Below are 16645 nucleotides of genomic sequence, written 5' to 3' on the forward strand. Positions count from 1 at the left end.
CTACCAAACTTTTCCACAGTGCCATATCATTTTTACATTCCCACCACCAGGGGGCAGGATTCCAGGGTCCCAGTTTCTCTACTTCCCTGCCAACACTATTTTTTGTGGTTTTCTTTTTTTTTTTTGGATTAAGGCCATCCTAGTGGGTGTGAAGTGCTATCTCATTGTGATTTTGATTTGCATTTCACTAATGATGAATGACATTGAGCTTCTTTACATGTTTGTGCTTGTTGGCCATTTGTATATCTTCTTCGGAGAAGTGTCTATTCAAGTCCCTTTCTCTTTATTTTTTATTTTATTTTTTTGAGACGGAATCTCACTCTGTCACTCAGGCTGGAGCGCAGTGGCACAATCTCGGCTCACTGCAACCTCCACCTCCCGGGTTCAAGCGCTTCTCGTGCCTCAGCCTCCCGAGTAGCTGGGATTACAGTCACACACCACCACACCTGGCTAATTTTTGTATTTTTAGTAGAGATGGGGCTTCGCCATGTTGGCCAGGCTGGTCTGGAACTCGTGACCTCAGGTGATCTGCCTGCCTTGGCCTCCCAAAGTGCTGGGATAACAGGCATGAGCCACTGCGCCCAGCCCCTTTCTCCTTTTTAAATAGGGTTATTTGTCGTCATCTTGTTGTTGTACCGGTAAATGCACTATGTAAGTGTACCAAACATTTAAAGAAGAATTAACACCAGTCCTCAGACTCTTTAAAAATTTCATGTATACTAGACCTTCACAGATCTGTAGACCTTTATCAGATATATCATTTGTGGGTATTTTCTCCTGTTCTCTGGATTGTATTTCCTTTCATAGAGAAGTTTTTTATTTTGATGAAGTTTAGTTTATCTGTTTCTCTTTTGTCGTCTATGCTTTTGATATCATACCCAAAAAGCCATTTCCAAATACAAGACTGATGAAGATTATCCTCATCTCATGTTTTCTTCCGTAAGTTTTATAGTTTTAGCTCTTATAGTTAGATCTTTGGTCCATTTTTAGGTAATTTCTTTTACACAGTGTATGGTAAGAGTCCAGCCTTTTCCTTTTGATTATCTGATTGTTTCAATACCACTTGTTGAGGACTATTCTTTCCCTGAAGTTCTCGGTACCCTTGGCAAAGATCAGTTGGCTGTAGATATTTAGGTTTATTTCTGGACTCTCAATTACATTATTACATTCTATATGTTGATAATTATGCAGGTACCACACTGTTTTGAACATTGTAGTTTTGTACTGTTTTAAAATTGAGAAGTGTGTCTTCTTTCTCAAGATTATTTTGGCTGCTTTGGTTCCGTTGAATTTTCATATGAACTTCAAGGCTGGCTTTTCCATATCTGCAAAAAAGACCATTGGGATTTTTGCTAGGGATTGAATCTGTAGATTGTTCTGGGGAATAGTGCCATCTTAACAATGTTAACATCCATTCTCTGAATGTGGAATGTCTTTCCATTTATTTCCGTCCTCTTTAATTTCTTTCAGCAATATTTTATTGTTTTACAGTTATCAGGGTAATAATGGCCTCATAGAATGAACTAGGTAGTGTTCCCATATATTCTATTTTTAGAAGAGTTTGAGGATTGGTGTCAATTCTGCTTTAAATGTTTGGTAGAGTTAACCAGCTAAGCTTTTCTTTGTTGAAAGATTTTTTTTTTTTTTTTTGAGGCGGAGTATCACTCTGTTGCCCAGGCTGGACTGCAGTGGCACGATCTCGGCTCACTACAAGCTCCGCCTCGTAGGTTCACGCCATTCTCCTGCCTCAGCCTCCCGAGTAGCTGGGACTACAGGCGCCTGCCACCACGCCTGGCTAATTTTTTGTATTTTTAGTAGAGACAGGGTTTCACCATGTTGGCCAGGATGGTCTCGATCTCCTGACCTCGTGATCCACCCGCCTTGGCCTCCCAAAGTGCTGGGATTACAGGCGTGAGCCACCGCGCCCGGCCTGAAAGATTTTTAATTACCGATTCAATCTCTTTACTTGTTATGGGTCTATTCAGATTTTCTATTTCTTCTTGAGTCAGGTTGGGTAATTTATGTTTCTAGGAATGTGTCCATTTTATCTAGGCTATTTTATTTGTTGGCATACAGTTGTTCACAGTGTTCTTTTATAATCTTTTTTATTTTTATGTTGCTAGTACTGTCTCCACTTACATTTCTGATGTTAGTTATTTGCATCTTTTCTCTTTTTTTCTTTTTTTTTTTTTTTGAGACGGAGTCTCACTCTGTTGCCAGGCCGGAGTGCAGTGGCACAGTCTCGGCTTACTGCAACCTCCGCCTCGCAGGTTCAAGTGATTCTCCTGCCTCAGCCTCCCAAGTAGCTGGAACTACAGGCTCCCGCCACCATGCCCGGCTAATTTTTTTGTATTTTTAGTGGAGATAGGGTTTCACCATGTTGACCAGGATGGTCTCGATCTCTTGACCTCGTGATCCGCCCACCTCAGCTTCCCAAAGTGCTGGGATTGCAGGCGTGAGCCACCTTGCCTGGCCTCTTTTTTTCTTAATTTGCGGAAAGTTTATCAGATTTTTTGTTCTTGCCAGAAACCGAACTTTTGGTTTTGTAGATTATTTTTCCATTCCCTATTTAATTTATGGCTGCTCTAATCTCTGTCGTTTCCTTCCTTCTGCTTTGTATTTTTTTGTTTTTGTTTTTTTTTTTTTGTCTTTGTTTTGAGACAGGGTCTTACTTTGTCCCTCAGGCCGAAGTACAGTGGCGCAGTCATGGCTCACTGCAGCCTCAACCTCCTTGGCTCAAGTTATCCACCTGCCTCAACCTCCCAAAGTGCTGGGATTACAGGTGTGAGGCACCACACCTGGCCTAACTTTGGTTTTTATTGTGTTCTTATTTTTTTAGTTCTTCCAGATGTAGAGTTATTGATTTGAGATCATCTTCTGTGAATGCAGACTTCTATAGTATAATTGCCCGTCTTAGCCCTGCTTTTGGCGCAGCACAGAAGTTTTGGTATGTTGTGTTTTCATTCATCTCATAGTATTTTCTAATCTCCCTTGTGATTTCTTCTTTGACCCACTGATTGTTTACCGTGTGTTGTTTAATTTTCATATACTTGTGAATTTTCCACTTTTCCTTTTGTTATTAATTTCTCATCATTTCATTTTGGTTGGAGAAGGTAATTTGTATGATTTTAGTCTGTTTAAATTTGAGACTTTGTGGCCTAACATATGGTCTGGTCAGTCTAAGAGAGTGTTCTGTGGTATACTTGAGAATAATGTTTATTCTGCTCTTTTTGGTGAAATGTTCTGTATATGTCTATTAGATCTGATTGGTTTATGGTGGTGTTCTTTGGCTAAAACTGAGATGCTGCAGGGCCCGTTGTCAAAGTCACAGTGAAAAAGCAAGGTTTTCCCAAGCTCTTTTAATCACATCAGTCTTAGAGTTCACATTAATCCATTCAAAAATACGTATCAGGCCAGGCTGTAATCCTAGCACTTTGGGAGGCTGAGGCGGGTGGATTGCTTGAGCTCAGGAGTTTGAGACCAACTTGGGCAACATAGCGAAACCCTGTCTCTATAAAAAATATGAAAATTAGCTTGGCATAGTGGTGTGTGCCTGTGGTCCCAGCTACCTGGGAGGCTGAGGTGGGAGGATTGCTTGAGCCAGGGAGGCAGAGGTTGCAGTGAGCGGAGATCAAGCCACTGCACTCCAGCCTGGGCGACAGAGTGAAATCCTGTCTTGGGGGTGGGGGGAATCTTTCTGTCTGTCTGTCTGTCAGTTTGTCTCTCTCTCTCTCTCTCTCTATATATATATGTATATAATTATTTTTTAATTTATATATTATATTTATATGTTGTATTATGTTAAATATATATTTTAATATGTGTATTACAGCTGAAAAGAATCATCTAGTAAGAGTTATATCTGATTTCTTGAGGCCTCATTAGCAACCAAAAGTTACATTTAAAAATTACAGAAGCATATCTCCATCGAGAAATGGCCTTTTTATGTTGTCTGCTTTTTCCCCAGAGGTTCCAATAAGTAAAAATCACAGCACAAATCATTAAGTATGGGGACTTGTTCTGTTGATAGTATTCATGTGTTTAAATTTCATCTGGCCCACTGGCTGCAAAAAGCAAGGAAGTTGTGTCTCATGAATATCCGTCTATATTTGCAGCTTGCCCTGATCAGGGTATCCTTCTTATCATTTAAGAAATTATAAGCATATAATATTTTATACCAGCTTAATGTGTACATCCACATGTAACAGCCACAAAACATAAAGCTATGTAAAATAAAAAATTTCCCCCAGTTTTGGTTGCAAATTTATTCAAGCCCTTAGCAATAAATTCAGTCTTTACAGAGTTAACAGTATAGCTGCCCAGGGGATCCTGGGAGATCCACCTGGAATGCAACTCCTGTCCCTTCCTTGGGGCCCCTTCCTGGGAGCCCTAAAGTAGCGGCTAGGCTAAAGGAAAGGCTGTTTCCCCCGCTAGTTTATCTAAAGTTTTGCTCCAGCCCTGGGAATTGAATATCCTTTTTTGCTCTCTTGGAAGAGAGAGAAACACAAACTTTTTACATTTTTTGGCTCACCCAAGCCCACCTTTGGGACCGTTTGGATCTTTTTCCCTCCCACCTGGAGGAGAAAACTAAAATCAAGGGAGTTACCAGAACCGCACTCCTACCCGCTCTCAGTTTAGCAAGTGAGAAAAGGGGGGTTAAAAATCTAGCCTACTCTCCTAGGGTTAGCTCTCCTATTTTCAAATCCATTGGTAAGTTTTACTTCTCTCAGGTGACAGCAGCTCAGCTTCTGTTTCATGCTATGGATGACTCTGTAGCCACCCAGGGCACCAATTGTCAGGGGTCTCCAGGTTTGATGGTTGGCCAGGAGGACTCACAAGACTCAGCATGTAGTTGTACTCAGGGCTATAGTTTATTACAGTGAAGGGACACAGAGCAAAATCATGAAAAAGGACGTGTGTAAAGTCCAGAGGAAAGCAGGTACAAGCTTCCACAGGATCCACACAGGACGAGCATAACTGCCCCGGCACCGAGCCATGTCAAGTGCTGTCTGCCGGGAAGCTGGGTAGAGACTCCAGGCCCAGGGTTTCCATCAGGGCTGACCACATGGGCACCCCGTGCCTGGTGCATACCAAGTTCCAGAACAAGGAAAGCAGGTTTCAGCACAGACCATGTTGTTTGTACAGTCAATTCAGGCACAGCGAACCACAACTATCACCTAGGGAATTGGGGAGCCCTCCTGAAATCCAGACTCCAGCCGAGGGCTAGCCTGCAGCAATCCTGTCTGAGGTTGTATCTCGGGCCAGCTGTTAGCTGTCTTCTGCACAGAACCATGATTAAAGTTTGTCAGTTTCCCACTGTTAGATATTTAGGTAGTTATCTTTGTTTTTCTATTAATAAAAAATGTGATGAGTATCTTTCTAACTCAGTTATTTTGCTTTTTACGGGGGAGTAATTCCTAGAAGTAGAGAAAGTAGCTTTACTGAGCATTTTAATATCTTTTATATCTTCCTAGGATATTTATGTATTTTGTCCTTCCGTTTACCTTCTTTTTATCGTATATCAGTAAAATATTCATAGTATTATATTGATAAACATATAGTATGGATTCTTCAAAACATTATGATCTTCATTAGTATTTTTTAAATGTTTTGTGTGTATTAAAGGGACATTGTAGCTACTTGTTGGCTCAGCTATTGTTTTTGATGCTCTGTCAGGCCCCAGTTGTGACAATGTTGAGGAAGATATGAATGCTTCTGCTCAAGGTGTTTCTGCCACAGTTTTGGAAGCAACAAGGAAGGAAACGGCTCCTGTGCATCTCCCTGTTTCAGGGCCAGAACTGGCTGCCACGATGAAGATTGGAACGAGGGTCATGAGAGGTGTGGACTGGAAATGGGGCGATCAGGTACTCAGAGATTTGATGTGAACACATTAGCCACACATTAGTTATCTTCTGCACAGGTCTGTACGATACTGGTGGGTGGAAATTGGAATAATCCAGGATGTGTCGGTTGATAGATGACACAGGTGTTGGTTCCCGAGCTGCTGAAGGGAGTGAACACAAATAGGGAATCATAAGTAGGGCATCTGAGCAGAATCAAGTCTGGAAAGAGAGGCAGCTCTTTTCAGGAAACTCACTGGCATGAGGCTCAGTTTGATGGGTCACTGGAACAAGAGTGAGAGTGAGCAAGAGAGTAAATCTCATTCTGAAAGTTGGTGTAGTGAAGGCTCTGAGGCAGGAAGCCCAGATTCTGCCCCTGTGAGCTGATGGCCACGTGCTGCGAAGTGCCCTGAACCCAGTAGTTAGGGATATACTTCATGGGCCTGTGGCCATGTCTCCATTTTCCCTCATCGCAGGTGTCTTCTAAATCGCTGCCAGGTGCCCCCAGGTGGAAGTCACTTACCACAGCCCTAGCTAAGTTAGGGCAGTGTTCACCTTCCCATGGTCTGTCTAGCTTTTCTCAGCCACGCTAGTAAGCCCCGGCTTTGTCACAGTCATCTTAGAAATAGCAGTGTCTGGAGACAGCAGCATCCATCCTAGAAACAGCTTTCTCCTACAGAAGTGAGAGACAGAGCTTCCCCCTGGGGCCCGGAGGAAACTGAAGAAAAGGGAATGTGCAGGTGCTGGTACTTGTTTCAGGTTTCTGCTCTTGCAAGGCCGGTGAGGGATTGAGGGGTCAGGACTTGCTGCAAAGCCCTGTCTGTGCATTAACTCAGAGGATCCTCATTGAGATGAGATTTCCCCTACTTCCTTGGTAAAGCAGCATGAGCACGTTATTTTATGCCATTTAATTTAAAATGATGCAAGCACACATTTTGTAGGAGAGGTGAAATCTGTGTCTGGGGACAGCCCCTGACAGACAGGGTGGCATATGGCGACATCTGTGTGGCAGGTCTGGTGTGAGCCATGGAAGGACCAGGACAGAGCACGCACCCTTCTAACTGAGGTCTGGTGGGAGCCATGGAAGGACCAGGGCAGGGCACGCACCCTCCTAACTGAGGTCTGGTGGGAGCCATGGAAGGACCAGGGCAGGGCACGCACCCTCCCAACTGAGGTCTGGTGGGAGCCATGGAAGGACCAGGGCAGGGCACGCACCCTCCCAACTGAGGTCTGCTGGGAGCCATGGAAGGACCAGGGCAGGGCACGCACCCGCCTAACTGAGGTCTGCTGGGAGCCATGGAAGGACCAGGGCAAGGCACGCACCCTCCTAACTGATCTCTACTTGGGCTTTGTCAGGATGGGCCTCCTCCAGGCCTAGGCCGAGTGATTGGTGAGCTGGGAGAGGACGGGTGGATAAGAGTCCAGTGGGGCACGGGCAGCACCAACTCCTACAGGATGGGGAAAGAAGGAAAATACGACCTCAAGCTGGCAGAGCTGCCGGCCGCTGCACAGCCCTCAGCAGAGGATTCGGACACAGAGGACGACTCTGGTGGGTGACTCAGGAAGGCCTTTAGTCCAAGGCAGCCCACAAACTGTCCAGGTGCTGGCTGCCACCACTGCCATCTGGGCCTTAGAATGGGATGTCAGGACGCACCTGCAGCTGGCACTCTGTCCTCGGAACCTGCCATTTAAATAAGCTCCCAGGCACCTCCGATGCAGGTGCATGGAGTGGCTGTGGGATCCGGCGATCTGTCTGGAACTGACTTTCTGCATTTTCCTCTCACGTGTGCACCTGCCCCTCTTTGAGAATGTGGTGGCCAGGTCGGGGCAGCTGCACCACCAGTGAGTCTCATGTGGTTGGTGCTGAGCCTGCATCTGAGCGAGTGAGCCGAGGCCTGGTGGAATTGCCCTGCGGTCTCGGTCCATTGCCTCCTCCTCCAGTGAGAGCCCCCGCCTGAGCACACCCAACCTGCCACCTGTCTTTACCTTTCCTCTGCGGTCCCTGACTCTGAACTCTTCAAGTAATGTGGAGTTAGTCAGCACTTTATTGCTTCTAGGGAAGCAGAGGTGAGAATTTAGGGGTGGACCAAGAAAGCTAGATCCTATCTGTGGAGATCCAGGTTGTGGGAGGAGGTTTCATGACATTTCTTAGCTGTTCCTAAAAGACATGCGAAGCTTCACATGGCTGGGCTTGGTAAGACCATCCAAGAGGCTGGGGCTGCCAATATAATTTGTTATTTTGATTATTTTTTTTAGAAGCTGAACAAACTGAAAGGAACATTCACCCCACTACAATGATGTTTACCAGCACTATTAACTTACTGCAGACTCTTTGTCTGCCTGCCAGAGTTCATGCTGAGATCATGCAGAGCGAAGCCACCAAGACTTTATGCGGACTGCTGCAAATATTAGTGGAAAGCGGAACGACGGACAAGACACGCATGGAATGAGAGATTGAAGGCCCAGGGAGTCAGCGCTGGGGGCCGCACGCTTGTCGTGTCCGGGTGTGCATGTGGGTGGGTGTGGATGTGTGTGGATTCATTTCCTGTGGCTGCTGTAACAAAGTACTACAAACTTGGGGGCTTACGCAGTAGAAATTCTCATGATTCTGGTGGTTGGAAGACTGAGATCAAGGGTGGTTCCTTCTGGGGCTGTGAGGGAGAAGCTGCTTCAGGGCTCTGCCCCAGCTTCTGGAGTTTGCTGGCCTCTTTAGCGTTCCTCGGCTTGTAGAGGGGTCACCCTGATCTCTGCCATCATCTTCACATGGCATTCTCCCTGTGTGTGAGTCACCTCCAAATCTCCCCTTTTCATAAGGACATCATTCAACCTCATCAAACTGATTACATCTGCAGCGGCCCTATTTCCAAACAAGGTCACCTGCCGAGGTATGGTAGGGGTTAGGGCTTCAACATACGAATTTTGCAATTCTGAATTCAACCCATAACACTGGCTTCAAACAACAAATTTGTTCTCTCAGAGTTCTGGAGACCAGAAGTCCCAAATCCAGGTGCGGGCAGGGCCATGCTCCCTCCACAGGCTCTAGGGGAAGGTCCTTCCTTACCTTATCCAGCTTCTGGGAGCTCCAGGCTTCCCTGGTGTGGGGACGCATTGTGCCAGTCTCAGAGGCCTGCGTCTTCACATGGCCCCTGCCCCTGTGTTCTGCATGTCTTTTTCTGTCTCTGAAAGGACTCTTTCATTGAGCTTCTTTGACTCTAATCCAACATGATGTCACCTAAATTCTTACCTTAAGGACGTCTACAGAGACCTCATTAAATAAGATCATATTCTGAGTTCCGAATGTATGTGAAGTTGGGGGACAGGCACAGTTTAATCCATAAAGTGTTTGTGTGTGTGGAGAGTAAGTATGAGAAATGTGAGCTGAGGGAGTGGGGTGAGTGTGCATGCGACTGAGAGTGAGCACATGTGAGGGTGGGTATGTGGGTGTGCTCCAGTGTGTGTGAGAACATGCATGTATTAGTGGTGTGCTGGAGCATCTGCACATATTGGTGAGAGTGTGTTAGCGGTTGATGGGCAAGTGGCTGAGCGTTTGTGTTGCAAGTGTGACAGTGTGTTTGTAGCATGTGGTTGTGTGGGTGTATGTATGCATGCATTTATGTGAGTGGTGTGTATGTCCGTGACAGCATGTGAGTGGGCAGGTGACTACAGTCAGGTGAAGTGGGAGTGAAAGCGTCAGTGCATTGAGCCAGTGTGTGTGTGAGGGTGAGCACGAGGGAGGCATGAGTGTGAGTGTGAGGGGATTACTGGGTGTGCCAATGAGATGAAGTGTAAGTCAGTGAGGCTTGATGAGTGTGAGGAAGTATGGGTGGCAGCACAAGTGTAAGTGTGCGATTGTGAGCATTTGTGTAAATGTGTATGAGTGCCTTGAATCAGTGTGAGCACGAGTGACGTTATTGTGAAGGCGTGTGAGCGAATGTGAGCATTTTGCTTGTGTCAGTGGGAGGTAACAGTGTAGGTGTGAGTAAAGTGAGGAAGTGGGTGTAGGTGTGAGTGTAAAGTGAGAAAGTGGGTAAAGGTGTGAGTGGGTGAGGAATCGGTTGTGACTAGTGTTGAGTGTGAGTGCATATGTGAGTTTTTGTATGCAGTGGGAGGGGTAAGTGTATGTGAGAGTGCATAGGAGTGTGTGTCAGATTGCATCTTAGGTTGTGTGTGCATACGTGTGACTGGGATTGTGTGTGTTAGTGATTGCGACAGTGGTGTGAGTGCACCTGTGTGAGGGTGGGTGTGTGAGTGCCCATGAGTGTGTCTGAATAACTTGGTGTGGGTGTGAGGATGCATGTGAGGGTGTGAGAGTGTGTGTGTGTGAGCGCATGTGAGTATGCTGAAGGAAGGCAGGTGTCCTCAAAAGCTTGGATAGCTGAGGGCGGGGGAGGTGGGCGGGTGGGAGGTGGGAGGCGAGAGCAGGTCCTGTGGGGCTGTGGGCGGGGTCCCTTAGGGGGGCCCAGCCTCCAAGCCTCAGCCTCCATTCAGGGAGTAATGGAGTCCTGGAGCCAGGCGGAGCAGAGGTGGGCCCACTGGTGCCAGAATCCAGTGGTGTAAACCTAGTGAAAAACTCATTTTGTTAATGCAGATGTATTAAACTTGGATTGGAAACTGTCTCTACTAAAAATGCAAAAAAAGTATTTAAGTGGTGCAGATTAAATATAAGCAAGATTGTGGAGATATTTAAAACACAAAATTAAAAATACAGTAGATACACTGTTGCAAATTACTGCTATTTGAATTATAGATCATTTTCTTATTGCCTAGAAACAATACATAGCTAAAATTCCCTAACTACTTTTACTACACATACTTAGAAGGTTTTAAAAATACCTGTAGTCTCAGCTATTCAGCAGGGCAAGGCAGGAGAATCACTTGAAGGAGTTTTAGACCAGCCTGGGCAACGTAGTGAGGGCAGGGCCCATCTCTTAAAAAAAAAAAAAAAAAAAAAAAAAAAAAAACAAAAATGCGGAAATGTTTCTTGAACTACCTTAAAAGCCTTCTTGCACTTCTCACTTTGAATTAGTTTGAATTAATTTACAAACTGCAATATATTTTAAAGGAGCTTATTGTAGAAAATAAAATAAGTTGATAAAAAAATAAGGATTTATCTTTAGGGATTTGTCTTTAGGGACTTGTTACCAAGCATGTCTATTTTCCCTCCCGCAGCTTCTCCAAACAGGCTGGTGTACAGGGAGCAACACCGGAGCTGGTGCATGCTGGGGTTTGTGCGGAGCATCGCTCTCACGCCGCAGGTGTGCGGCGCCCTCAGCTCCCCGCAGTGGATCACGCTGCTCATGAAGGTCATGAAAGGGCACGCACCCTTCCCTGCCGCCTCGCTGCAGAGGCAGGTAACGTGCTGCCAGGCAAAACCAGTTCCCTGAGAGAGGCATCCATGTACTGAAGTTCCCTGCCCTTAGAGTCGGGCCTTTATTCAGTAAGGAGTGCAGAAAGGGTCTAGAAGTAACAGGGTAGATTTTCTGGAGGCAAGGGGCAGTGGTCCTTGATAATTGGTAAGTTACTAACCTTTAGTTTACCTGCTTTTAAGTGGTAAATCCTGCAACTACTTGCTCATCTGCTTCACAGAATTTGTAGCATAATTGTCTTAAGAATTAAACTAAAAATAATTCTTTTTTAATTAAACACATGCATCTGTAATGTTGCTTTTTTCTAAAGTCCCTGACAATCCTAATCACTAATCAACTTGAGTGTAATTACCTGGCTGTAAAATAACGAATCTCAAAATTTTCACATGATTATTTGCATTATGAGAACAGAAAATAAAGAGAGGCTGGGCGCAGTGGCTCATGCCTGTAATCCCAGCACTTTGGGAGGCCGAGGCAGGTGGATCATGAGGTCAGGAGTTTGAGACCAGCCTGGCCAACATAGTGAAATCCTGTCTCTACTAAAAATCCAAGAAAAATGAGCCGGGCTTGGTGGTGGGTGCCTGTAATCCCAGCTACTCAGGAAGCTAAGGCAAGGAGAATCGCTTGAACCTGGGAAGTGGAGGTTGTAGTGAGCCGAGACCGTGCCACTGCACTCCAGCCCGGGTGACAGTGCGAGACTCTGTCTCAAAAAAAAAAAAAAAAAAAAAAAGAAAGAAAAGAGAAAGTAACAGTCTGTAGTTTCTTAATCAGATTTTTAATGCTTGTTATTTTAAGTTTTCTTTTATCAGATCTTAGCTGTGCATTTGTTGCAAGCAGTCCTTCGGTCATGGGACAAGACCAAAAGGGCGAGGGACATGAAATGCCTGGTGGAGAAGCTGTTTGACTTCTTGGGGAGCTTGCTCACTACCTGCTCCTCTGACGTGCCATTACTCAGAGGTGGGTGGCCGTCTCCCTTCCCCATGCCCTGGTGAAGAGCGGCACAGTGCCATCACTCAGAGGTGGGTGGCTGTCTCCCTTCCCTGTGCCCTGGTGAATTGCGGCACAGTGCCATCACTCAGAGGTCGGTGGCCGTCTCCCTTCCCTGTGTCCTGGTGAAGAGCAGTGCAGCAGCTTCTCCCCTTGTTTCCTCCTCAGAGTCCATGCCGAGGTGGCGCAGGGTGCGCCCGCAGGCCTTGCTGACTGCCACCCATAGCAGCACACTGGTGGAGGTGGTGGTGGCACTGCTGTGCACGCTGCACTCCCTGACTCAGTGGAATGGGCTCATCAACAAGTACATCAACTCCCAGCTCCGCTCCATCACCCACAGCTTTGCGGGAAGGCCTTCTGAAGGGGTGAGTTTGTGTTCTCAGAATTAATTTAGTTGAACAGTAAACTTGTAGGGATTGGGCAGCTCCGTGAGTGTCCCTGGTCGAGCTCACTGTTTGGTCTGCACTAGGCCCAGTTAGAGGACTACTTCCCCGACTCCGAGAACCCTGAAGTGGGGGGCCTCATGGCGGTCCTGGCTGTGATTGGAGGCATCGATGGTCGCCTGTGCCTGGGCGGCCAAATTGTGCACGATGAGTTTGGAGAAGGCACTGTGACTGGCATCACCCCGAAGGGCAAAATCACCGTGCAGTTCTCTGACATGCGGACGTGTCACATTTGCCCATTGAATCAGCTGAAACCAGTAGGTGAACTTGTGCTCAGTTACTGTATGATAAGGGAAATTGGCTTTACACTAGGACCCAGCACCAACATTAGCACTTGAAAGAACTTGATTCTGGTACTTCAAGTTTGCCTTCTAGGAAGCTGTGTGAGCTTGCGCTTCTGTGGTGAGCAGGGCCTGTCTCACAGGGCACCTAAAGCAGTGGTTCCTGTGTTTTTCAGCCTCAGAGACATGAAGAGGGCTTTAGCAACCTAGAAGGTACCGTGCGTCTATGAGGTAGTTCTAATTATTTTAAAATGTGAATTTATGAAGTTTACTTTTTATTGAACAACTCAAGTTTTAAAAAAACTTTTTTTTAAAGTTTTTTTTTTTCTTTTATTATTATACTTTAAGTTTTAGGGTAAATGTGCACATTGTGCAGGTTAGTTACATATGTATACATGTGCCATGCTGGTGCGCTGCACCCACTAACTTGTCATCTAGCATTAGGTATATCTCCCAGTGCTATCCCTCCCCACTCCCCCCACCCCACAACAGTCCCCAGAGTGTGATGTACCCCTTCCTGTGTCCATGTGATCTCATTGTTCAATTCCCACCTATGAGTGAGAATATGCGGCGTTTGGTTTTTTGTTCTTGCGATAGTTTACTGAGAATGATGATTTCCAATTTCATCCATGTCCCTACAAAGGACATGAACTCATCGTTTTTTATGGCTGCATAGTATTCCATGGTGTATATGTGCCACATTTTCTTAATCCAGTCTATCATTGTTGGACATTTGGGTTGGTTCAAAGTCTTTGCTATTGTGAATAATGCCGCAATAAACATACGTGTGCATGTGTCTTTATAGCAGCATGATTTATAGTCCTTTGGGTATATACCCAGTAATGGGATGGCTGGGTCAAATGGTATTTCTAGTTCTAGATCCCTGAGGAATCGCCACACTGACTTCCACAATGGTTGAACTAGTTTACAGTCCCACCAACAGTGTAAAAGTGTTGCTATTTCTCCACATCCTCTCCAGCACCTGTTGTTTCCTGACTTTTTAATGATTGCCATTCTAACTGGTGTGAGATGATATCTCATTGTGGTTTTGATTTGCATTTCTGTGATGGCCAGTGATGGTGAGCATTTTTTCATGTGTGTTTTGGCTGCATAAATGTCTTCTTTTGAGAAGTGTCTGTTCATGTCCTTCGCCCACTTTTTGATGGGGTTGTTTGTTTTTTTCTTGTACATTTGTTTGAGTTCATTGTAGATTCTGGATATTAGCCCTTTGTCAGATGAGTAGGTTGTGAAAATTTTCTCCCATTTTGTAGGTTGCCTGTTCACTCTGATGGTAGTTTCTTTTGCTGTGCAGAAGCTCTTTAGTTTAATTAGATCCCATTTGTCAATTTTGTCTTTTGTTGCCATTGCTTTTGGTGTTTTAGACATGAAGTCCTTGCCCATGCCTATGTCCTGAATGGTAATGCCTAGGTTTTCTTCTAGGGTTTTTATGGTTTTAGGTCTAACATTTAAGTCTTTAATCCATCTTGAATTGATTTCTGTATAAGGTGTAAGGAAGGGATCCAGTTTCAGCTTTCTACATATGGCTAGCCAATTTTCCCACCACCATCTATTAAATAGGGAATCCTTTCCCCATTGCTTGTTTTTCTCAGGTTTGTCAAAGATCAGATAGTTGTAGATATGCAGCGTTATTTCTGAGGGCTCTGTTCTGTTCCATTGATCTATATCTCTGTTTTGGTACCAGTGCCATGCTGTTTTGGTTACTGTAGCCTTGTAGTATAGTTTGAAGTCAGGTAGTGTGATGCCTCCAGCTTTGTTCTTTTGGCTTAGGATTGACTTGGTGATGCGGGCTCTTTTTTTGGTTCCATATGAACTTTAAAGTAGTTTTTTCCAATTCTGTGAAGAAAGGCATTGGTAGCTTGATGGGGATGGCATTGAATCTGTAAATTACCTTGGGCAGTATGGCCATTTTCACGATACTGATTCTTCCTACCTATGAGCAGGGAATGTTCTTCCATTTGTTTGTATCCTCTTTTATTTCCTTGAGCAGTGGTTTGTAGTTCTCCTTGAAGAGGTCCTTCACATCCCTTGTAAGTTGGATTCCTAGGTATTTTATTCTCTTAGAAGCGATTGTGAGTGGGAGTTCACTCATGATTTGGCTCTCTGTTTGTCTGTTGTTGGTGTATAAGAATGCTTGTGATTTTTGTACATTGATTTTGTATCCTGAGACTTTGCTGAAGTTGCTTACCAGCTTAAGGAGATTTTGGGCTGATACAATGGGGTTTTCTAGATATACAATCATGTCATCTGCAAACAGGGACAATTTGACTTCCTCTTTTCCTAATTGAATACCCTTTATTTCCTTCTCCTGCCTAATTGCCCTGGCCAGAACTTCCAACACTTTGTTGAATAGGAGTGGTGAGAGAGGGCATCCCTGTCTTGTGCCAGTTTTCAAAGGGAATGCTTCCAGTTTTTGCCCATTCAGTGTGATATTGGCTGTGGGCTTGTCATAGATAGCTCTTATTATTTTGAAATACCTCCCATCAATACCTAATTTATTGAGAGTTTTTAGCATGAAGGGTTGTTGAATTTTGTCAAAGGCCTTTTCTGCATCTATTGAGATAATCATGTGGTTTTTGTCTTTGGCTCTGTTTATATGCTGGATTACATTTATTGATTTGTGTAGCGATTGCACCACTGCACTCCAGCCTAGGCAACAAAGGAAGACCCCATCTCAAAAAATATATATAATAATAAAAATCAACTCTCATTGATTTCTATGTAAATATGCACAGGTGATGTCCATATAGACATAAAAAATAATATTTCTGACAGTGGGTCCATATGATCTTCAAAATGTAAAATGCCTGTCTGTGTAATTGACTGGTTAGACTCATTAATGAATATAGATTCAATTCTACTTTCTTGTTGTAGATAAATTATATAATCTAGCTTTTCATTTCACTTTTTTACTGATAACAACAGGAAGAATGACAAGATATGTATTTTGGAAAATTACTCTGGTAGGAGTAAAGATGAAACAATGATAGAATTGCACGGACAACTAGAAAAAAGTATGGTCTTCTGATATTCTATCACATCACATACTAAAGGCCTCATAAAACTCAGATATTTTATCTAAAAATGTTATTTTCATCATAGGAATGATCAAAGCATGAGAGTACAGTTGTATTAAAATGTGCTTGTATCACAAGCACAGGTGCTAAAAAGGAGGGGAAAACATCCTTACTGATATTTTCAATGTATGTTTTACTTTTCATCAACATGAACCTCAACTTGATATGATGCAGATTGAAGGAAATCACCCATAATTCCATATGAAGAAGGCCTGTGATATTTTATGGGAAAATAAATAGAGAAAATGCTAACGGAAACTCTGTTAAGCATGAAGCTTTATGGAGCAAACACAAATCCAGTGGTGAAAGATACACACTCGAGTTCTGTTTGTTGTCTTGGAACAATACGGTTTAGAGGTGACTGGCGGGTGAGGAGAACATATGCGAGTTCACCAAAGAGAAAAGCTGAATGAGGCAATGCCTCTTCCTGACCATATCTCTTACTCAGATAACTATAGAATTTATTTTCCAGTAAAGGGTATATTAAAAAATCATATTAAAAGTCATGCAGTGAAGTTGTCCAGGGAAATCAAGACTTAACAGTCTCACTCTGACAATAATGAACAGGGGGATTCCCTCAAGATAGACTAGGACATGACCCCACACTGGCAGGTAGTAGTACGAGAAAAGAAC

At 44.3% G+C, this 16645-nt stretch overlaps 1 pseudogene across 1 annotated transcript in view; it reads left to right on the plus strand.

Moving 5' to 3' along the window:
- The window catches only part of LOC102723753 (HECT and RLD domain containing E3 ubiquitin protein ligase 2 pseudogene), a 35989-nt pseudogene extending 23094 nt beyond the window's left edge, over positions 1-12895 (plus strand). Inside the window, exons 19-25 of the transcript NR_135178.1 lie at positions 5677-5864; positions 7197-7389; positions 8097-8279; positions 11010-11191; positions 12016-12163; positions 12362-12558; positions 12663-12895. The product of NR_135178.1 is annotated as an HECT and RLD domain containing E3 ubiquitin protein ligase 2 pseudogene (transcript). The remainder of the gene's footprint in view (positions 1-5676; positions 5865-7196; positions 7390-8096; positions 8280-11009; positions 11192-12015; positions 12164-12361; positions 12559-12662) is intronic.
- Positions 12896-16645: the final 3750 nt, after the last annotated feature.

Source organism: Homo sapiens, assembly GCF_000001405.40.
Source record: "Homo sapiens chromosome 16 unlocalized genomic scaffold, GRCh38.p14 Primary Assembly HSCHR16_RANDOM_CTG1".
In the NCBI taxonomy this organism is placed as follows: domain Eukaryota; kingdom Metazoa; phylum Chordata; class Mammalia; order Primates; family Hominidae; genus Homo; species Homo sapiens.